This window comes from Homo sapiens, chromosome 6 (genome assembly GCF_000001405.40).
Source record: "Homo sapiens chromosome 6, GRCh38.p14 Primary Assembly".
NCBI lineage: Eukaryota > Metazoa > Chordata > Mammalia > Primates > Hominidae > Homo > Homo sapiens.
In genome coordinates this window covers 390,463-411,571 of record NC_000006.12, presented here as the reverse complement: position 1 = coordinate 411,571, position 21,109 = coordinate 390,463, and the positions used below count along the sequence as shown (strand labels likewise).

Here is a 21,109-nt window from a genome sequence, read left to right as displayed (position 1 = left end):
CAAGGTGAACACTTGGAGATCTGATTTCAGAGACACGTACAGCAGCCTCTCTGAAGGAACGTAACCGCAGGAGAAAGTGCTTTAAAAGCTATCAGGATGCATGTTTAATAACACACACACACATTCCATAACAAATTTTTAAAAGTTTTTATTTACCTAAAAACATAAATTTATCAAACATATCAATTTGCTTTGCAGAGCAATTTACATAAAAATTCATGATGTATACCAACGACAGCATAGCATTATCTACCTCAGTTTGTGAAGCATCCTTTCCTACAGATCTCAGCAAAACGCAGAGCCAGTAGGGGAAATTCAAGCTTTCATTTGGGGGCCTCTGGGGTCCTACCTGCTGGCAGTTCTTTCAGCAGAAAGTGGGGTACGGGGGATGCTGAAGAGGGGGAAGTGGACCCCATTGCCTGTTAAGTCCCATCTGTCTCAGTTTGAAGCAACACGGGAATTTCCATTGGAGGAGGGTTGGCCTGCCGGCCTGGCCCTTCTCTCACGTCCCCTCTACTTCAGCTACATTTCTTATGCATGTTCCTCAAAGCTGTGAAAATCAATACAAAAAAAAACTGACCTTTACTTCATTCCTGTAACAGGCTATCAGGATCTCAAGGAGATCCACCTGCATCGAGATCAGTCTCAAAAACGGGGCATGTAAAACATAACTTACAAAATGGTGTGTAAGGTCTGAGAGCCTTCACGCACCATTCAGACAGATGCAGCTGGCCACAGAGGACTTGGGGAGATACGTAATACAAATAAAGACCTTAACCAATCCCAACACTTTCAGAAAAACTTTCACCTGTGGGGAAGTGGGGGCATGTGACTGGAGAGCAATGAACGGAAGTTTACACTGGATCTGAATTGTTACTAAAAAAGTAACTGACACGCACACACAAGTGGCCTTCCTGGCGGAGCATCAACAAAGCCAAGAGGTGCGAGTACCCAAGACTCCCAGAGTTGTTCCACCCCTGGGGCTAGCTGTATTTATGCCCTCGCTCAAAGACCAGCTTTTTCAAACACTAATACCTACCTGCCCTTGGTGGTAACAATACTGTAAGGGCTGCTCATTTCACTGTAGGATTTTACATTTTTCTCACCATGGCACAGTCTCTTTTTAGTTCATACCCAATAGTCTAGCTGGGTTTTCTGTAGGGCGACTAACTCTCCTGTTTTCGCTCAGGACTCAGGGGCTTCCTAGGTTTCAGTTGTAAATGAGTCGGTCACTTGGTTCTCTATAGTGTTCCAGGAGATATTAATTACTGCTTGAGGTTTTCCTAAATATACAAAATCTCAAGAACAAGACATAAACCAAGAAATGCACCTGGGAGACACATACATTTTTTCCATATGACCCAGTGCTCTTTAACAAGTCCTCAAATCTTCAACAGCACTGTCCACTGAGTACAAACTAAATTCTAGTTTGCCAATTCCACTTTATCAAGACAAGGAATGAGGAAGCCGTTCCTTTTCAGAGTCCTGAGACAAGTGCTAGGATTCCTAACCCTGAGTATTTCATAGCTAGTTCATTCCCTAGGTCATACCCTGGATCACTCAGAATTTTAAAAAGTCAACATACACATAGATGTAAAGATAGGAAAGGAGGTAGTGGCCCCAGCCAAGAAGCATTTTCCAGAAAATTCAGCTCCACTGTTAAAGCAGCATAATATTTAAAAAAACAAAGAAGAAGAAGTCACAAAGCAATTGAAATGGAGCATCCGCTTGGAGAATTAAGAAGACAGGGTGCTCCTGAGACAGACTTCCAAGACAGCTTCTTTGAAGTGCTGTGTGGGGTTAAATATTCTTCAGCAAAGAGGGTCACAGGTAAGGGCCCCGTGAAACAGCAGTTCTTAATATCATCTTTATCTTCCCTTAGGATAATATACCCCAAAATACTTTGCATCTATAAGATGTATACATCACTGCAGTTCACGAAACACAGTCTGCTGCCCAATACATATCCATGTTGCATGGCTAATGAAATGTCAAACCCTACTGGGTACATGGCAGTGGAGCTCCACAGCAAGGCCTCTGAGCAGAACGAGGTAAATCTTCACTGTTAGCTACAAAGAGCACTGCATGAAAGTGTGTGCAAGATGACTCCATGAGGTTTTCTTTTTAAGTTTATGTATATTTACAGAAAAGTGAAATGTGTTGGAAGAATAAACACCCCTTCTTGTGGACACTTTTAGAGAGGAGAATTTGGGCTGGGAAAAAAGGAGATCCTTTTTATTTTTTTGCTGTTCTCTACTGTTTGTCTTTTCTGTAGTTAATATTAATATTAATTGTATTAATATTCTGACTTTAATATTAGAAACTTTTTAAACATTAAAAAATAATGTTTCAGTGCTCACTGCTCACTAAGCTTGATAAAGGCTGAACTGTGTAATGTAGGGATACAGCAGGCACTTACTAGGTGCTTGTTGAATGAATTTAAAATATCCATTAGAAAAGCAGGAACACACATTTGAGAGCTACGCAATCTTCTGCTGATCCTGGGAGTAATAGTAAATATCCTGTAGTATGAGAAACGGCCTGGAGGTGACGCCCCAGTCTACTGCTGTACTTTCTCAAAACCACAAAAATGTAAGTGATAGGTATACTTAAGCAAGTGGAGGTCTTTGGGATTCTATAAATAGAAGCATTTGGAAAAAGCCAAGTAATTTTAAGGCCCTGTCAAACTATAATTGGCACGAGGAAGCATAGAACAGATGAAATAAGCAGAAACAGCCCACTGAGTGTGCAGTTCCGTAGTCAGCTCCATCCTGCTTCCAGTGGTGGGTCCTGGCAGTGCTCTCCAGCCTGGGAGTCCCCGGCTCCTCCTCCTTTAGTGTCGCCATGGCTGATCGCTGGACAGCCAAACAAACAGAGGAGCGTGGCACAGAGGAAGGGAACAGATAGTTAAGTACTTGGACAGAAGGGCAACAGTTCAAGTATTAAGATTTATGTTCCTTAATTTCTTCTTCTTTATGCGAAGAATTTTAGCATCTCTAAAGAATGAGGGTCAAAAAGATGCAGAAACAAGAAAACTTAACCATTACTTAGACATTACTAGATTGTAGGACAGACAAAAATGTCCCATCCAAGAGTAGCGCTCATGTTTTTTGACTCAAGAAAATAGGAAGTTTACTAACTGGCTTCCAGGAAAGGCCAAGGAGAGAAAGCCAATGGGAAGGAGGGCGGGGCAGAGGGACCCACACCAGGAAACCGCTGGCAGGTGGGGGATGGGCCTCCCCAAGGCTACAGGCACGGCTTCAGTCAAAGATTCATTTCCTTCACTCAGCAAGTGTCTTCCACAAGAACTGCAGCTCCTACATACATTAATACATTTCTTTTACGTGTGAGGCTTCTTCAATTTACATCTTACTTCCCTGAGAAATGGCACAGACATACCTACAAGCAGTCATCACTCTAGTCAGTGTCAATACTGAAAGGCAAGTTTTCTCTGTCTTCCAGCAAGACCTAATCTACAACAAATTAAAGAGCGCATTTCAGTAAATGTAAACACATCACTTGGTCAATTTTCACAGTGATCATCAATGATGGCAGTCTACAGAACACAAGAAATGCAAAGCCACCCTTCCTTTTGAAATAAGCTCATCTGCCAATCAGATGTCACTGATTTTCCATGCTTGTCTCGCCGCAATTCTCCTCAACCGCTGAACTGAAATCTCCACTTCTGAATTCCTCAAAACAGTAAGAGGGCAGTCAATTGGACGCTTTCACTAAAGTCAAATATTTACAATGAAAATCACTTGTCTTGGGTGGGTGCAGTGGCTCACACCTGTAATCCCAGCTACCAGGGAGGCTGAGGCAGGAGAGTCTCTTGAACCCAGGAGGCGGAGGTCACAGTGAGCTGAGATTGTGTCACTGCACTCCAGCCTGGGAGACAGAGCAAGACCCCGTATCCCCGTATCAAAAAAAAAAAAAAAAAAAGGAAAAAGAAAACCACTCATCTTGACATTTTTCATTCTTGAATAGAGGAATGGCGGATAGATCTGTGGTAATCTTCTGGATTGCTGATGTGTTCTGGTAAATCGTAGCCCCTCAGGAAATGTCCACTGTTTTGTTGAGCAAAATAATATAGTTGTCTGGCTAGCAGAGGTTCTACCTTTAATAAGAGATTTTAAAAAGACATTACTGAGATATCCTGCAACTGGCTCACTATTAAACAGCACTCAGATTCTAAGGAGACAGTAACGTAAAGCCCAAAGTTACATCCTAGAACACATCAAAACATTTCATATTTGGAGCCATCTAAAGAAGCAATTTTTTGGTTAGTCCTTCCATAGATCAACATGTAAAAAAACAGCCAAAGTGACTTAATTCTGGGTTAAAGATGTTACTTTCAAATCGACTGCCACTTAAAATGTACATTTAACTAAAACTGCATCAAATCAAGTAAAGTGATCAAATTAAAAGGAAGTCTGAGGGAATCTGCAGGGTAATTTAGGCCAATGATTTTGTTTTTCCACAACTGCAGTTTGAAAGAAACAAGGAGCTCATCCTGAATGATTTGATTTCTAGGTAATCTGTATAGTTCTCAACCAGAGGTAAAAGAAATAAAAAGTAAAGTTAAACAACAACAAAACTACTATTGTGGAAAAAGAGAAGCTAACTGGCCTCAAATTTATACTGTCTGGTTATTAGCGTGGATCACACTCACCAAAAAACAAAAACGCCTTAATGTTCAGCTTTTCCTGAATTTACAGCATCTAAGGCAAGCTGAATGCTCTCCATCAATCATGATATTAGAGACTGTATTTTATATATGACGACTTAAGCTAAACTCCTAAGTACCTGAAATGAATTAAATTAATAATTTTTAAAAGTGGAACTCATAGGTGTACACGTGTGTTTATTCATTTTATGGACCACGCAGCCTCGTCTTCAGCATGAGGGGGTCATCTGGGGATCCATCTTTCCCTGACTTAGAGGACAGTGACTTGCATCCATGTCAACTTTAAAACTGGATTGATGTGATAGCTGAGCTGATCATCAACTTCTTTTTTTGTTTTTTTTTTGAGACAGAGTCTCACTCTGTCACCCAGGCTGGAGTGCAGTGGTGCAATCTCGGCTCACTGCAAGCTCTGACTCCTGGGTTCAAGTGACTCCCTTGCTTCAGCCTCCCGAGTAGCTGGGATTACAGGTGCGCACCACCACGCCCGGCTAATTTTTGTATTTTTAGTAGAGAGGGGGTTTCACCATGTTGGTCAGGCTGGTCTCGAACTCCTGACCACATGATCTGCCCGCCTCAGCCTCCCAAAGTGCCGGGATTACAGGCGTGAGCCACTGTGCCCGGCCGATCATCAACTTCTTAAATGCTGCTTATCAATGCCAAGTTTATTTAGTCATTTAGCAATTCCTGTTGTTAACAATGTATCAGTTATTATTTCAACAATCATATCAATTATTAAGTCAATCACTGGAGAGAACTCATGAGAAAACTCCTGAGTCTATGGGATTATATACTGGTTGGTTGGCTGGTCTTTGTTTTTAAAATCAAGAAGGGGGGTTGTATGTTCAAGATTAAACCATGTTTCATTTCAGTTCTCAATGAGAAATAGCATCAGAGCTAGAACATGATGAGAACTTTGATGTTAGGGGGTGTAACTTTTACCTGGTATTGCTCAGCATGCAAGCCCGTTAATAATGCTTGCAAGTATGTAGCAATGTGAAGTTTTCAAATTCAAAAGTCTTAAGGGTTCAAGATTCTGTTTCCCATGGCAAATTAATGCTTCATGTTATCTATGGAAACCTTTTCTCATAAAAAAGAAAACTCTAACCCTAATCCTAACCCTACCCTTTTAGTGTTACTTGCCACAGTTGAACCCATCTTGAGCTATGCTAGAGAACATTACGAGAGGGTCTGATTTGCTTGAATTCCTTGAAAGATTCAGCCTCTTTCAAATATCATATGCCCAATAATTAAATAATTTCTAAAATTCCAGAAATAAAAGAGGTGCTAGGACACAGCTGCAGAGACCTACAAAATGCCTCCAGGGAATGGATAGTTTCTCATTTGGGAAAAGCTTTTCCATTGAATGAAGATCCACTAGCTAGATAGCATTCTTACAGCAATCTTAACCTGGAGAATTTTAAAGGGCAACTTTAACCATCAATCTTTTTCAATCCCTATAAAATGGAAATACGACAACTTTCCTGAAAAATAAAAAAGATGGGGAAAGAGGCACCCTCCTTTGAGGCTGTCCTCCCTGGTTCTTTGATGAGCAGATCTCAAGTCTGGGAGGAGCACGTGAGTCCTCAGACTGTGCTGCTCGTTGGACCATGCTTCCTCCCTCACTAGTTTAAGGGTTACGCTTATTTTTCCAGGTCATTTGACATTTACTTTTCATTTGGGACTTTTCTAAATGAAACTCTGGCCTTTACAAAGAACAGGAAGCCACTATGGTAGGAGTGTAACTGAGGACTCACGTGAGCTGTGATGAGCTTTCTTTGCCTCTGAGGGTCTGGAAACTCCTCTCCAAAGCATAGAGTCACCTGGAATCTTGGCAGGGAGCGGCCGTGGTGAGCAAACGCTTGCAGCTCTGTAGAAGCCCACAAGAAAGAGACCATGTTCAGAAACCCTCATCACCGAACACACCAGGTTAAACAGGAAGCAAGAGCTTACTGTGATTCTGAACACTGCAAGAGGAATGAGCACTCTTACTCCGCTGAGTGGGGCTCTTGATGTGAACATCTCAGATACAAAATAGCATGTATGCATTCCTTTGGGTGCTTTCCCCCCAGGGCCCTCGGTCTCCCTCGATTCTTCAAGAGGAACTAGTCGACAGCTAAAGAACACTGCTTTGCAGCATTGGACCCACGAAGATTCAAAAGGTAGTAGACCACAGTGAAGTCGGGAGATAAAGAACAAGAAACGTAGTCACGCAATGGCAAAAGACCAATTTATGCCATGGACAAGTTTTCATTTAAAAAATCAGAATGTTTCGACATCCCAGGATCATTTTAAAACCTCATCCCCTCACTACAGAGCCCACATAATCCAGTATCTGTGCTACTGCGGACATCCACGTAACTCAGGCACCACAGAAAATATGTAACGTCAACGTGGTGACTGAGCACCAGCCATCGGCAGCTGAGTCCCACTGTCACTATGCCTGAACTGTGTAACTCTGAGTAGACTTCTTGCCTGTCTCCAGGGATGGAACAGTAACTTGACTTGAGAACAGGAGTGGGGCAGCCCCCCTGGCCTCCCGCTTGTGGATATACACATGTACATCCTGAAGCCACCACACCTACCCAAAAGATACAAAACGGACTGGAACATTGTTGGAAAGACAAGTGCCCATCCCCTGACTTTAGCCCATGCTCCCTCCCCTGTACACAAGACAAATCTTCTGCCTGTAGCTACAATAAAATGTCACGCCCGCAAAAGAAACGAGTTGACACAGGAGCCGCTACAGCTTCTGCAGAACAGACGCGTCCTTATCAGATACACACCCTCGGGCCGGGCCCTGGGGGCTGTCCCTAGTGCTGTGCAGACCTGAATAGGAAGATATCAAAGATCTCCACTGTTCTCTTCAACTGAACAGAAGTTTCTAGCTAACTTACAGGACTATTTGACTTCCTGCTTTTTTTTTTTTCCAGAATTCAAATCAAACCCAAATGACTTAGTCAGAATCTGTAAAATACATTCACACTGCCGTGATCTGAGACTACACCTACACAGGCTAATCAGAATGGCGAGTTGGCACAATTCTCTGAGAAAGCATGGCTCCAACCCTAGATAACATGAGAGTGTTTGGTGGGAATCCTTAATTATGCAGAAGCTGGTTGGCACAGCTGCAGTTTTTACGTTCACAGCATCCTCCTTGAACCTCAGTGAACACTTTGAGGTGAGAGGCTGCAGTGGGCAAAGAGCACAGCCCTTGGTTACAGAGGAAGGAATGAAAGCCAAGACCAGCTCTTGCTCACAGATTAATAGTAAGTTCTAGTCGCGCAAGTCTACAGCCCCAGGACACTCACAGGCGTCCACCCCCTGCCTGTGCTGTCTCTCACGCAGTGCACCTGTGACTCAATGTGCACCTTCCAGCTTAGTCACCACGGGGGCTCTACCTCCCTAAAAACGCCCAGCAAGAGGCACTCAGAAAAGCCAGTGCCAGTTCCTTGTGACACTTTCATTAGAAAGCCCTCACCTTGTGGTATCTTCTGAATCCACTGGCACCAAGGTCCAGAGTCTTCAGAAATCCAGGCCCAGTGGGCCTTAGCCTTCCTGGCCCATGTGAGCTCTTCCAGATCCCAAGGCAGACACAGGAGATGCTGACAGGGGAGGGGGGGTCCCCCCAGTTGCCCTTCAATTTCCTTGGTCCCCCATGAACACCATGCCCAACCCCAAGAAGGATGGGACCGCCCTGGCCAGGGCTTGGGGATGGTTCTGCCCTTAGAATGAGAGGTGTCCAGCCCCAGGTGACTTCCTCACTTGCCGCCGCCTCGGGGAACCAGCACAGTTCTCCCTCTTCCTATGGTCAGCCTCTGTGTGAGCTTAGTTATTTTTTTGTGGTGCGGGGGGCAATGGAGTCTCGCTCTGTCCTGCAAACTGCAGCACCGTGGTGCGATCTCAGCTCACTGCAACCTCCGCCTCCCACAGGTTCAAGCGATTCTTGTGCCTCATCCTCCTGAGTAGCTGGGATTACAGGCGCCCACCATCACGCCCAGCTAATTTTTGTATCTTTAGTAGAGACGGGGTTTTGCCATGTTGGCCAGGCTGGTCTTGAACTCCTGGCCTCAAGTGATCTGCCCACCTCAGCCTCCTAAAGTGCTGGGATTACAGGCATGGGCCACCACACCTGGCCTGAAGCTTAGTTATCTGGGGACATATTTGCTTTGGGCACCAAAAGAAAATCTGGATGAGCTTACAAAAACTTGGGTCACTTACACCCAGAAGTACGAGCACATGTCAACAGTGCCAGAGCACACAGACGTGTCATATTTTTATTTTAAATAAGTTGAATGAAGAAGCACATTCAAGAAAAGGGGAGGCACATGAGAAATCAAAGACACAGGAGTTTCTGAAGGGGCTCAGGAAGGGACAGGACTGGGAAAAGGCAGAGGAAGAGTTGGCGGTGGGGTGGCGAGTGGCGGGTAGAGCAGCTCCCTCCCACGCGGGAGGCTCCCTCCACCTGGACAGCCCCACAAAGCCAGTGAGGAAGCCCAGCATGACAGGGCGAGGGGCTTCACAGAAGCCAGCCAGAGGTTCGCTGAATTGTCATGAAATCCAAGGTAGAAAAACAAAACTCACTGGTTCTGAAAAATATGCTTAGAAATGTTCATATCACAGAGCCAACTTATAGCACTCTCCTATAACTTCTCCTGTGCAAAACCAGTACAGTCCACTCCACCCTCCGTCTCACTCGTGGGCCAGCATCTGCATGAGGGTGACACACCTGACAACCAAGAATGTTAACAATATGCTTCCAACCTTTATGATTTTTCTGGGAACCTGAAAAGAGCCGCCACATCAGCAGACGTATTTGTCGAGATCATAGTGCAATGAAATGGAACTGTTTTAAGAGGCGACTGCTGAAAACCAGAATTGCAAGAGAACAGCCTGAGCCATGGTCCACCTGGACCATCTGATCCGGACTCTCTGCCCACAACAGAGCCAGACAGAAGATCTCTACTGGAGTCAAGCCCCAAGCCCAGTGGGCGCCGAAGTCAACAGGAGGAAGACCTCAGCCTGGGGTGGGAGGGACCCTGTGGTTTCTGACCCCTGTGGCAGGCAGGCCATCACCACCTCCATTCTAACAGATAACGAGGTGCCTTACCTGACAAGAACTGCTGTGTGTCAAAGAGCTTGCAGGTCTGGTCTCTCTCCAGTTTGTTGGGCCGGTCGTTGCACAGCGCCAGGGGCCCGTCCCAGTAGATCCTGCTCTGGCACAGTCTTTTCGCATAGAGCCCGTCGGGGGCCATCCAGAGGACCACGCCCCTCTCCAGGTGGCTCAGCAGCTTCTCAATGTTTTTCCTCTGGCCATTGTCCTCTGGGTAGGGGAACAGGACCTGGTCCAGGTTGCTGGCGTCATACGTATGTCCATGGGAGATCCGGCAGCCCTCGGGGCTGGACGTGGTCAGCTCCTTCACGAGGATTTCCCGGTAGTACAGGCAGATGTGCAGCCGGCAGTCTGCAAACACAGAGCTCCGGAGTCAGTGCTGGGGGCCAAGGACACCACCTCGAGGCCAACGACTCCACAGAGCCAAGCACCTGTGGTGGAACTCTAGTGTCCCACATGTCCCGTGGGGGAACAAAAGGTTCCCGCGTCAAGGAGGCCTGGGAAACACAGCGTGCCCTTGTCTCCCCCAGAGATCCACAGACAGCATGAGCTCGGTCAACACTTGGAGAAGTCCCGTGGAAAGAAACCCATTTAATCTGTCTAAACCAGCATATTACAAACGTATGTGGCCACCGACTCTTTTTTTAAGGAACAAGTGTATCTTTCATTAATTTTCTGGAAATGTAAGTTGAATTCCTATTATAGAGCATCACTATTAAGAACTTGCTAAGTCTTATTTGTGAATTATGATGATGATAGTGGTGATGTCATTTAAGTCATGTGTCACTGAATGAAAATTCATCTTTAAGCAAATCAATTTTTACTTTGGAGGAAATGAACCCTAAGTTTAATTTATACTAGCAAAAAATATAACGGTGTTTCAGAAAGAAGCAAGTCGGTCCACATACCTGAAACGTCCCCAAAATAATAACATGACATCATTTAGGTAAAAAGCAAATGTGTGTGTGTGTGTGTGTGTGTGTACATATATAAATTATATATAGAATTAGGTGCTTAATTATTTATGTCTATATAATTTATATATAAACACACTCACATACACACATTAAAGGGTAAGCACTGAGGCCTTAATGGTGATTTCTGGGTGGTAGAATGTGATATTTTTATTTTCCATTTTTGTTTTTCTGATTTTTAAATTAGTTTTCCACACTGGATATGTGGTGTTTTTATCACAAAATTAATTCTTGTGAAAAGAAAGAAATTAATGAGAAAAATACTCTAAAAGTTCATGTAAAGTCTGCTGAAATTCCCACTGGGCTTTGTGTTTAAGTTTGAAAAGAACTCTAAAACTGCGCTCTCTGAAACTTTAAACAAGATGAATCCATTTACAAACGTTTTGCTGATTTCAGAAGCCTCTTTAAAATATCGCCCATGAGTTGAAAGAACCAAGCTGGGTTTGCACAAGCTCCTCAGCCAGACCGCAGGGGAGTGGCACAGACAGGAGGCAGCTGCCACTGGTAACTGTATGGAACCCCAAAATCAATGGGAATCACAGTTATCTAATAAATGTGCTCATGGCTGATAATTAATCTGTATCATGCATACCAAAAAAAGAAACCCACAAAACTATCTTATTCCTCAACAGCAGGTTTTGAGACTTAACCCACATCACTGTCTCAATTCTCTGCTTCAACACACTGTCTGAAAGCGAGTCAGACAGTGCGCCCCAAAGAGAGTGGGTGTTGGCCATTCGAGGTGATTCTCGGGGCAGGTTTCATTTCATTTAATGTCATCAGAAATCACGAGGTTGCCGAGATATAAATAGCTGTTTATTTCCTACTCTTCAGGCACCCACACAAGTCTTAGGTGTTCAAGACAAGGGTTTGAAAGTTTCTAAAAACAAACACAAGCCTTCCTGCTCAGAAGCACCTCCTCCCAAAGGGCATCCTCAGTTACTCACGAGCACCTCAGAAAAAAAGGTGCAAGCCTCATTCACAACTAGAAAGAGCTGGTAGGTCAAACTCCAGCTCCCCTCTGAGCAGCAAAAGTGCCACAACTCTCGCCTCCCTGAAACCTTCAGAATTTAGTTAGTATTTTTCATCACTGATTTTTAAAGATGCCAGAGGGCAAGATGAGAATTCCAAACCTTAAGCTATTTGGTTTTAATATAAAAACAAATCCCATTTAAAAACAATCCAAAATATTATCTGAAAAATAAATATACATATAGCACGTGTGCTTGCCAAGCCTAGAGGTGCCTTCTTTATAGTAGGTAAGATCTCCATGGTGCAGGGATTTTTTTTTTTTTTTTAGAAATAAAACTTTAAAAATCAGATTGAATCCATATTTGTTTGCAAGCTATATTAAAGTTCAGAGGAAGACCAAAATGTGTATTACTCTTAGGCACATCAATGTTTTAGAGATGAGGGACCAGAACTAATGTCCCCAGGGAGTAGAGGAGGAGGACTTATTTGTGGCTCAACCTGGAAGGATGATCAGCTTCTCAAAATGAGAAGCCCTTCTACACTTCCAAGCAATTATTCCACATCGTGAGAATGTTGGCTGAAGAGGGGCCCTCGGTAAAGGTAAAGGCACATTCCTAGAAATTCAGAGAGGTGCCAGTGAAGAAGCCAAAATGACTCCATTCAAGCCAGTGGCTGAAACGGTCAGCAGAACCACAAGCAGTGATGTCAGGTTTTCTAATGGTGCTCCTAAATCACCCTGGTCACCTCACACACAGGATGTGTCTACATCTACTCCAGACCCCAGAGGGAGCAAAGCAAGTGTCTAAAGTCCCATCGAATCTGCCCAAAGATGACAGAGCTGGCAGCAGAGGCTGGCCTCCTGCGGTGCCTCCAGGAGCAAACCCTGCACTCACCTGAGAACGCCAAGGCTTCGGCAGACCTTATGCTTGGCTCTGTGGGGACTCCGGGAGCCTGGGACTCAGGTGGGGCACAAGCATAAAAGGTTCCTGTCACCTGGCAACCTGCATTTGCAAATAAAAATCAGATGATGTCTAGACAGAGAGTCCGACGCACCGCGGGGCTTCCTGGGGTGTGTGTGTGAAGCCTGGGAAGGAAGGGGCTGGCGCCCAATCACCTTCCCACCCACTCCCAGCACCAGCAACTAGCAGGGCACGCTCTTGTGAGGCAAAGATGAGCTGGAGACCAACTGGAAAACCAAAGCTGATGGAGAAACGAGCCAGTGCACAGCTTTGGAAGGAAACTTGGAGCGCTCTCTCTGTAACTGACTAACAGGGAGACTGAGGCTCAGAGACAGATGACATGCTTTGTCCTTGTTCACAAAGCGGGTTCACAACAGAGCTGAGAGTTCAGGTCTACTTGAGTCTGTGCCAAAGAGCCCAATTAAAAACTAGCAAATTATTTAGTCCATTTTTATTTTGCTTGTCTCTTGTGGGTTGGGAGAACACTGAACCATGTTCCTGAAGACAATGTTGTATGAAACATGAATGGAAAAAGAATGTGGCACAGAACACCTGATCTTGCTGCTGCTTCATTTACTGTTACCGATGCTTCAAGACAGGTCTCTACCTACTCCATCACTTTACACAGTTCTAAGCATTGCCTCTTTCCCATGGTTACTAATTCCATAGAGCCAGAGCAGTAAACGCAAGTCTGAATTTCAGGAGCTAGTTTTATGTTAGCCAATTCCTCCACTACCATATTGGAAACCAGCCCTTGCTGCAAATCCCTCTTGAAAAGCCAATGCAACTGAATTCTGAGCTTTTTTGTGAACATGCCACTCAGTACAAACATTAAAGAGTGGTACACCTCTTCACTACCTGCAGCCAAGGATAACCTGAACATGACTGGGGAAAAAAAGGCCAAATTGCAAAGGAACAAATATTCCTAAAACATCCAAAGGGTTCAGTGTGTTGACCTGTCTCAGGACTTCCATTTAAGTAACTAACTCAAAAGTCCTGAAGGCCTGAGTTACCGCATTGCTAGATTCTCCCTGCACCCAGCTAATGAGAGCTTCTGCTGAGGGAGCTCATTTTGATGTCTGGGGAACTCCCGAGGGCAGGGGACCACATCTAATCCACAATCAGCAAGTCTTTCTGGGACCCAGTGGTAGGTAGGCACCTGTAGAGACGTTTTATGTGTTTGCCATGGTATTTTTCCGTTCCTTTTTTAGTATCACCTCTAATTCCAACAATAGCAACAATGAACACACCACTATTCGAGAGAAATATACCAGCTCAATAATCTCCCAGCATCCCTACTTATTATTTATGAGCTTCCACAATCTCCTCTCTATATAAAAAGTGGGGGGCTGTTTTCCACTGCCTGGAGTGATCTCTGTGGTGTTTAAATAAGATCCCACGAAGGGCAGTGCCTAGCATGGATCCTGAGAGTAAACTTGGCTGTGGGATGCCACCATCCCACAGGAGTGAGAAAACCCCCCTCTCCCCGAGCTGCACACGCAGCCTCTAAGAAGGGGAAAGAGCTTTGGTGCTGCCCAGGACAGACCAGGATTCGCCATGGCCCATGGCCACATTAGCAATTAGCTCTTCTATTTCCTGCACTGGTATCCTCCTTACCATTTTCACAAGCTGGGCCTTGCCAGTGGTGGCCGCGGGGTCCAAACGTCATGGGACATTGGTACGGGATTTCCGGGTGTGGCTGATCCGGGACGTAGTCCCTCCAGCTTCGGTCGAGGGGTGGCATCATGTAGTTGTGAACCTGCTAAAGGAGTGCAGGAGAGGCTGAGATAAGAAGCACTGGCATTGAGACGGGGGTAAAGGAGTGCAGGAGAGGCTGAGATAGGAAGCACTGGCATCGAGACGGGGGTAAAGGAGTGCAGGAGAGGCTGAGATAAGAAGCACTGGCATCGAGACGGGGGTAAAGGAGTGCAGGAGAGGCTGAGATAGGAAGCACTGGCATTGAGACGGGGGTAAAGGAGTGCAGGAGAGGCTGAGATAGGAAGCACTGGCATTGAGACGGGGGTAAAGGAGTGCAGGAGAGGCTGAGATAAGAAGCACTGGCATCGAGACGGGGTTAAAGGAGTGCAGGAGAGGCTGAGATAGGAAGCACTGGCATTGAGACGGGGGTAAAGGAGTGCAGGAGAGGCTGAGATAAGAAGCACTGGCATCGAGACGGGGGTAAAGGAGTGCAGGAGAGGCTGAGATAGGAAGCACTGGCATCGAGACGGGGGTAAAGGAGTGCAGGAGAGGCTGAGATAGGAAGCACTGGCATCGAGACGGGGGTAAAGGAGTGCAGGAGAGGCTGAGATAAGAAGCACTGGCATTGAGACGGGGGGTGCTCTTACAGCCTCCAAACTCCTCAGGGAATCCCTTATTAGACTGACAGCCGAAGCATTTTATCATCCGAAAAGACTGGAGTGAACCCTTCATCAGACTAAGTGAAAACACTCATGGAGGATCATAAAGGACAATGGAGATACTTGTACTGTTTTATGTAAAGCTTCGTCATATGGCTAAACCTGGCACCAAAAGTACCACAGGGGAATTTGCCTTCTTTTACCCACCAAAGTGGATGAAACAAAGCTGTCATTCACATCAAGAAAGCCTGAAGAGATCAGCTGCCCTGTGGTTTCACATGATAAGGCACTACTTCCAAAATCTTCCACTTCCACAAAACATCTGTTTCCCAGAAGACCTGAGAAGCATATTCCAACAGGCGGACACGCCCGACCCTCCCCAACTTAAAATCCACACCAATGGCAGCACCGTGTGGAAAGTGAGACATTCGTTCAGTGACCTGGGGTTTTTCTGGGCTGTTGGAGCAGCCATAGCAAATGGCAAGTTCTGCTGTCTGGGCTGCTGTGGTTCTCTGGCCATGTGGGCAGCTGGCCCACACAGCCTCGCCCTCAGGGAGCCCAGTGCCCTCCACCATACCTGGGCTGGGAGCGAAGGGTAAGGCGTTGTCATGGTGTAGGGGTGGCTCATGGACATCTGCGGGTCCTCCAGGGTGAGCTGCTTGGCTCCTACATGTTTGGGGAAAAGGGAAATGGCACAACGTAAAAACAGGAACTGACCTAACTAAATGTCAAATCTTGTAAAAATACCTGAGCATTTAATTCTTAGAATGCATAACACGGTGTTGACAAATAAGGTATTTTTCAGCAACTCCCTTGGGAAGTTATTTTTTCATGCTATTAAACTGATTTTTTTCTACAAGGTCTGAGTTGTACAGGACAGGTAAAGAAATACATGACAGATGGCATGCGAATGTGCCTTGTGACATAAAGGACCCCGCCAGCCAGATGTTTCCCAAGTGAGGTCACCTGAAGGATTTGTTCCAGATGCAGATTCCTGAGCTCTCTTCCAGACACACTGGTCAGAATCTTGAAAAGAGGGGTCCAGGAATCTGACTTTTAATAAACACCTCAGCTGACCATGTTACACTTTAAAAGTTGACAGTTTTATTACCATGCATAGTGATGAGATATTCCTCTCATTACTCCTTTTCTGCAAAATAGTCACTCACTAAAGACTATTAGATAAGTAAATTTTAACAAGTTATCCAGTTTTCTTTTTTCTTTTTTTTTTTGAAAGACTAACTGGAAAACACATATTCAATGCACCCCCCCCCATATACATTGAGGCATACAGTGTGATTAATTCTCCTATGCTGAACCCCACAGGAATTTCAACTTGTGACCCACATAACTCAGGCAAGGAGGCTGGGCTTCACTGTGAGGCAGAAGGCAGGCAGGCAGGCAATACAAAAGGAAAGCTAGAAAGTGATGCTCAGAATGAAGTTAAGGTGCCTCAAGGATCTGGCTGCCTCTGTTAGGTGACCCAAATTCAGGAGAGCCCCTACCTTTTTTGGCTCCCTCAGGAACAATCCTGTACACTTTGTACGGGTCTGAGATGTCCAGCTGGCTCCGCTCAACCAGTTCCTCAAAGTCATTGCTCTTGTTCAAAGCGCACCGCAGGCGCGTCTTCCAGGTGGGAGGGTCCGGCTTGTCGATGCCTTCTCGGAACTTTCCTTTAAACAGTGCCCAAGCCTGGTGGGAAAGAATGAAGAGAACGAAAAGTCAAAATACATGTCTGGTTTATTAGCTTTCTTTTTGGAATCAGAGTCCTGCTCTGCTGCCCAGGCTAGAGTACAGTGGCACGATGATAGCTCACCGCAGCATCGAACTCCTGAGTTCTAGGGTCCTCCTATCTCAGCCTCTAGAGTAGCTGGGCCCTCGGCCTACAGGTGTTCACCACCATGCCTGGCTAATTTTTTTAATTATTATTTTTTGCAGAGGCAGGGTCTCACTATGTTGCATAGGCATCCTTCCACCTCATCTTCCCAAAGTGCTGGGATTACAGGTGTGAGCCACCATGCTAAACCCAAAATACAGATATTTTATAAGGAATCTTGAAATTGTATTTCTAAAAGAAAGAATGGCGCATAGGTCCTTCAGATTTACACCGTTGCTCAGAACGTAAACTGAAAGACCCCAGCTATGCTCTAGGAAAATGATTTTCCATCTTGGACCCTATCACTGCCAAGTTGAAGACACATTTTCTGGGTATTTATAACCGGTAGAGTGAGATGCGGAGGTTCCTTGAGGGGGCTCTACCCACCCAGTGTCTGAGTGAGCTTGCCTAGGACTAAGGACAGCTGTGGTGTGAGCTGTCACCCACAGGAGACATCTGGATGGCAGCACAGCTGAGGCACTCTGAGAGCAAATTGAGACCAAATTCCCGGAGGAAGTCCCCTTCCCCTGCTCTGCCCACAGGTGGGGGCTGGGCCCAGACACGTAGTTCTCTGGGTAAACTGCCTTAGGGGAGAACAATCGTAACAACGACACACGTGTGTGCACTCGCGCAAAGGGCAAGGGAGACAGCTCTAGACAGAGGCCCTGAGTTCCACTGCGATGGGGGAAAGAGAGAGACAGAGACACACAAAGAGAAAGACAGAGGTGGGAGTACCCGCAGAGAGCTAGCAGGAGCGAGAAGAGAGGCTGACCTCAGGAAAAACATGGAGAGAGAGAGACTCAGAGAGAAAAGCAGCGAAAAGAGAAACAGAGACGCGGTGAGAGACGAAAACAGCCGCCGGCACAGGCGCGGACGCACGGAGAGGGCGAGGGGGACCCACGGACGGAGGCGGCAGACGGGAGCCCGGAGGAAGGGCGGGAGGCTTGCGTGGAAACGAGAACGCACGGACGAACGCGCAAAACCCCTCAAGCCTTTGGCCGCCCTTCCCCGGGCCCGGCCGGGCCTTCAGCGGTTTCCCTGCAGCCTCCACGCGCCCAGGACCCGGCTCCCGGCCCCCGCGGTCCCGCTGAGAGCCGAGGCCTCCTTTCCTCCTCCTGCGGCTCCGGCGACGCCACCTGATGCCTCCGCCGCCCGCCCGTCCGCCCCGCGCGGTCCCCTGGGCTCGCCTCGGAGGCGGCGCCGGGGACCCCGGGCTCTGTCTCTGGGCCCTCCCCGGCGCGCCCCCGCCGGCTCCCGAGGCCGGAGACCTTGAAGAGCGCGGCGTCCTCCTCGCGGTTGTAGTCCTGCTTGCCCGCGTGCTTCCAGGGGATGCGGAAGATGCTCTTCTCCTCGTTCTCCCACACCAGCCCGGGGTACTTGCCGCTGTCGATCTGGTCGATCAGCCACTGGCGGAGCTTCCCGTTGCCGCAGCTCACCGCGCTCATGCCGAACTCTCCGCCTCGGCCGCCGCCCTCCAGGTTCATGCCCCGCGTGCCGTCCGCGCCCGCGCCCGGGGTCCTCCGCCCGCTCTGCTCTGCACTGCGGGGAGAAGAGCTGCCCTTCAGCCACGAGGCACCGCACTCCGGGCACCCCGCCCCGATCCCCTGCGCCAGTGACCACGAGGCCCCGGAGTCTTTGAGGCTGCGAAGCGCGCGCGTGCCGTGTCAGGGTCGTCCGGGCCCCCGGAAGAAGGCACCTTCGCGGCCGGCCCGGGCGCATCCCCTGGGCGGGCACAGCCGTCCGCCTTCCGAGCTCGGCCCCCGCGAAGGCTCCTACCCGCCTGCTCTCCTGTAACGCACCCGCAGCCCAAAGGCTCCCGACACGCGCCGCTCGTCTTGCACCCTCTCTCCCCACCCAGCCGCCACCCCTCCTGGCCCTCCTTCCGCACTCACTCGCAGCTCTCGCTTGCCTTCGCTCACTCCCAACCCGCTTCTCGCCCCTTCCCCGCGACTCTGTCAGTTTCCACTCCCCTGGCGGCCTCCACGCGCGGAGGACCTCGCCTGCGGCCGGGCGTTCCAGGGGCGCAGCCCCGGGTTCCTCCACCCTCCGCTTTCTCTGCTCGCATCCAGACCCTTCGCCCCGAATAGGACCCCTATCCCTGCCCAGCTAGCGCGCACTAAGTGGGCTCTGCAAACGACAAGTGGCGCAGACGCGGGGGCTGCAGCCCCAGTACGGGGGATTCCGCGCGCAGAGCGTCCGCCGGACCCCGGAGCAGGCCCGGGAGAGCGGAGGCGGGGAGGGCGCGGGAGAGGGCGACGACAGCTGCGGAGCCTGGGAGGCAGGGACCGCGCCAGGCCGGCTAGGCCACCGCACGCAAGGCTCGGAGCGACCCAAATGTGGAGCTCCTCCTCCTCCTGCGCCAGCGGGTGAGCACCGCGCCGGAGGCCGCCGTGAGCTTGGGCCCCTTAGGAACGAAGAGCAGGGGAAGGAGCCTCGGATTGGGGTCCACAGGGCCGGGCCTGTTTCTCGCAGGCAGTTGTGCCGTCTTGTGTGGGTGCCTTGGACGGCCCCGCCTCAGCCACTCCTGGGGCCCCGACAGTCCGGTTAGCTCATCCCGTCCAGCTTGTGGCGACCCCGTCGCAGGAGCGCGGAGGGCAGGCGGGGAGGCTCGGGCAGAGCCAAGGAGGCGGGCCTTGGAGCCCAAACCAGCGCCTCCGGCTCAGCGCAGATGGGGTGGGAGTCGGAGCTCCAGGACGGGGCGCGCTCCCTTCCCGCTCCGAAGCCGGGGTACCCTGCGCTGCCCTGGAGGTCGAACCTCTGGTTCGCGCTCCGGGTCCTCTCTGGTATCAGCCTCACACCCCTCCTCCTGCCCGACTCCAGCCCTTACCTCGCCCTGGACTCGGAGCTGAGGGCAGCGGTGGGTCCCAAGATCGAGCGGTGAAACTGAGAGTGCGAGGTGGGAAAGAGGAACTTTATAGAACTCTCTGGGGCGGGGCCTGGGGCGGGGCGGGGCGCCGAGGCCTGTGGGGGCCGGGGGTTGGACTGGGGAGAGGGACTTTGCAAGCCGAGAGCCGGGGCCGGCCGGGCGGGCGAGCCTCAGGGCCGGCGTGAAGGCTGGGGGCTGCCGCGGCCGGGGTGGGGTTCCCGCGCCCTTGGCGACCCTCCGCGCGCCGCGCCCGGAGAGCGCACCTCCAGCCGGGCGCGCGCCGCTTCGGGGACTGTCACTGGGGCCGTTTCCCGCGAAGGGCGAGGTGCGAAATGCGAATCTCGCCTTTGCGCCAGGACCTCAGGAGGCCAGTCAATCACTAAACTGCAGCGATGTGGCCAGGGCGGGAAATGGGGGGCGTGTAGTAGCGGGAATCTGGTGCGAAGGGGACTTCGCTTTGCAGAGCGTGTAACGGAAGACGGAGGAATGGTCCAAAGAGAACTGGAGGTGGAGGTTGCGGGAGCACCCTCGGCAAGGCCATCACCGGGAACCCTGCCTCTCCGCGGTGTTTAGAGAACATCGCACTCACTAAAAAGAAAATAGGAAATGGCCCAGCTCCCTTGAGCTATTAAGCTTGATTCAAATACTGTCTCTGCGTGTCTGACATGCTTACATCCTTTTGCATCTATTAGGCTGGTGAATTGAAGTGACTCAGACAATGCCCCGGCCCCGAAGTTTTAATTATCTTAGCATGAAAGAGATGGGGGCGGGGAGAGGCTCCCTAAGGATCCAAGTGCTTAATCACTTCCAGACTTCAGTTCACCTTAAAATGATGTCGTTTTAACCTCAACCTGGAGGAAAGCAGTTTACCAGTGGGGTATAAAAGCCCAAAATAGGCCAGGCGCTGTGGCTCAAGCCTGTAATCCCAGCACTTTGGGAGGCCGAGGCGGTGGATCGCCTGAGGTCAGGAGTTCGAGACCAGCCTGGCCAACACGGTGAAACCCCATCTCTACTAAAAATACAAAAATTAGCCGGGCGTGGCCCCAGCTACTTGAGAGGACGAGCCACGAGAATCGCTTGAACCCGGGAGGCTGAAGTTGCAGTGAGCCGAGGTGGGCGACAGAGCAAGACTCCATCTCAAAATAAATAAATAAAAGCCCAAAATAGGAATAATACTTAAGTGGACCAGGGATTTTACATACTTTTCCAAGATGTCCTTAATCGCAAAATTAACCCCCTGAGCTTTCACCCGTTGAGCTTTCGATCGTCTGAGATGCTGAGTATGTGCATTTACTTCGCATTTTCAGG

At 48.8% G+C, this 21,109-nt stretch overlaps 1 protein-coding gene across 5 annotated transcripts, besides 14 other annotated features; it reads right to left on the bottom strand.

Annotated features, from left to right (window-relative positions):
* On the bottom strand, window positions 129-19,820 carry IRF4 (interferon regulatory factor 4). Of its 5 annotated transcripts, NR_046000.3 has the most exons (10): window positions 19,763-19,820; window positions 18,204-18,474; window positions 16,565-16,751; window positions 15,637-15,725; window positions 14,320-14,461; window positions 12,637-12,744; window positions 9,795-10,148; window positions 6,442-6,554; window positions 4,673-4,806; window positions 129-4,117 (listed from the first exon to the last, which is right to left on the bottom strand). NR_046000.3 is itself a non-coding variant. In NM_002460.4 (9 exons), the coding sequence occupies exons 2-9, from the start codon at window positions 18,417-18,419 to the stop codon at window positions 3,974-3,976; spliced, it is 1,356 nt and encodes a 451-aa protein (NP_002451.2). In that variant the 5' UTR covers window positions 18,420-18,474; window positions 19,763-19,820; the 3' UTR covers window positions 129-3,973. The 5 variants fall into 5 exon arrangements, 4 of the variants coding, with proteins under 4 accessions (NP_002451.2, NP_001182215.1, XP_006715153.1 ...); NM_002460.4 differs by lacking the exon at window positions 4,673-4,806 and having other exon boundaries at window positions 14,320-14,464; NM_001195286.2 differs by lacking the exon at window positions 4,673-4,806.
* Window positions 785-934: an enhancer, noted in NCBI's record as "active region_23847". NCBI's record gives its function as "activates an Ori minimal core promoter by ATAC-STARR-seq in GM12878 lymphoblastoid cells {active_cell/tissue: GM12878}" and the evidence as "EXISTENCE:reporter gene assay evidence [ECO:0000049][PMID:35858748]".
* Window positions 1,355-1,444: an enhancer, noted in NCBI's record as "active region_23846". NCBI's record gives its function as "activates an Ori minimal core promoter by ATAC-STARR-seq in GM12878 lymphoblastoid cells {active_cell/tissue: GM12878}" and the evidence as "EXISTENCE:reporter gene assay evidence [ECO:0000049][PMID:35858748]".
* Window positions 6,483-6,602: an enhancer, noted in NCBI's record as "active region_23845". NCBI's record gives its function as "activates an Ori minimal core promoter by ATAC-STARR-seq in GM12878 lymphoblastoid cells {active_cell/tissue: GM12878}" and the evidence as "EXISTENCE:reporter gene assay evidence [ECO:0000049][PMID:35858748]".
* Window positions 11,493-11,612: an enhancer, noted in NCBI's record as "active region_23844". NCBI's record gives its function as "activates an Ori minimal core promoter by ATAC-STARR-seq in GM12878 lymphoblastoid cells {active_cell/tissue: GM12878}" and the evidence as "EXISTENCE:reporter gene assay evidence [ECO:0000049][PMID:35858748]".
* Window positions 17,404-17,453: an enhancer, noted in NCBI's record as "active region_23843". NCBI's record gives its function as "activates an Ori minimal core promoter by ATAC-STARR-seq in GM12878 lymphoblastoid cells {active_cell/tissue: GM12878}" and the evidence as "EXISTENCE:reporter gene assay evidence [ECO:0000049][PMID:35858748]".
* Window positions 17,494-17,603: an enhancer, noted in NCBI's record as "active region_23842". NCBI's record gives its function as "activates an Ori minimal core promoter by ATAC-STARR-seq in GM12878 lymphoblastoid cells {active_cell/tissue: GM12878}" and the evidence as "EXISTENCE:reporter gene assay evidence [ECO:0000049][PMID:35858748]".
* Window positions 17,854-17,913: a silencer, noted in NCBI's record as "silent region_16813". NCBI's record gives its function as "represses an Ori minimal core promoter by ATAC-STARR-seq in GM12878 lymphoblastoid cells {active_cell/tissue: GM12878}" and the evidence as "EXISTENCE:reporter gene assay evidence [ECO:0000049][PMID:35858748]".
* Window positions 17,954-18,133: a silencer, noted in NCBI's record as "silent region_16812". NCBI's record gives its function as "represses an Ori minimal core promoter by ATAC-STARR-seq in GM12878 lymphoblastoid cells {active_cell/tissue: GM12878}" and the evidence as "EXISTENCE:reporter gene assay evidence [ECO:0000049][PMID:35858748]".
* Window positions 18,434-18,483: a silencer, noted in NCBI's record as "silent region_16811". NCBI's record gives its function as "represses an Ori minimal core promoter by ATAC-STARR-seq in GM12878 lymphoblastoid cells {active_cell/tissue: GM12878}" and the evidence as "EXISTENCE:reporter gene assay evidence [ECO:0000049][PMID:35858748]".
* Window positions 18,664-18,773: a silencer, noted in NCBI's record as "silent region_16810". NCBI's record gives its function as "represses an Ori minimal core promoter by ATAC-STARR-seq in GM12878 lymphoblastoid cells {active_cell/tissue: GM12878}" and the evidence as "EXISTENCE:reporter gene assay evidence [ECO:0000049][PMID:35858748]".
* Window positions 18,884-18,933: a silencer, noted in NCBI's record as "silent region_16809". NCBI's record gives its function as "represses an Ori minimal core promoter by ATAC-STARR-seq in GM12878 lymphoblastoid cells {active_cell/tissue: GM12878}" and the evidence as "EXISTENCE:reporter gene assay evidence [ECO:0000049][PMID:35858748]".
* Window positions 19,104-19,153: a silencer, noted in NCBI's record as "silent region_16808". NCBI's record gives its function as "represses an Ori minimal core promoter by ATAC-STARR-seq in GM12878 lymphoblastoid cells {active_cell/tissue: GM12878}" and the evidence as "EXISTENCE:reporter gene assay evidence [ECO:0000049][PMID:35858748]".
* Window positions 19,434-19,503: a silencer, noted in NCBI's record as "silent region_16807". NCBI's record gives its function as "represses an Ori minimal core promoter by ATAC-STARR-seq in GM12878 lymphoblastoid cells {active_cell/tissue: GM12878}" and the evidence as "EXISTENCE:reporter gene assay evidence [ECO:0000049][PMID:35858748]".
* Window positions 19,744-20,133: a silencer, noted in NCBI's record as "silent region_16806". NCBI's record gives its function as "represses an Ori minimal core promoter by ATAC-STARR-seq in GM12878 lymphoblastoid cells {active_cell/tissue: GM12878}" and the evidence as "EXISTENCE:reporter gene assay evidence [ECO:0000049][PMID:35858748]".

Excerpts from the sequence above, each read along its gene's own strand:
- IRF4 (NM_002460.4), bottom strand. The coding sequence starts at position 18,419 with ATGAACCTGGAGGGCGGCGGCCGAGGCGGAGAGTTCGGCATGAGCGCG. Across the intron at positions 10,149-12,636 it reads CGAAGCCTTGGCGTTCTCAG|ACTGCCGGCTGCACATCTGC; the intron begins GTGAGTGCAGGG and ends CTGTGTTTGCAG. Across the intron at positions 6,555-9,794 it reads CACACAGCAGTTCTTGTCAG|AGCTGCAAGCGTTTGCTCAC; the intron begins GTAAGGCACCTC and ends GGGCTTCTACAG.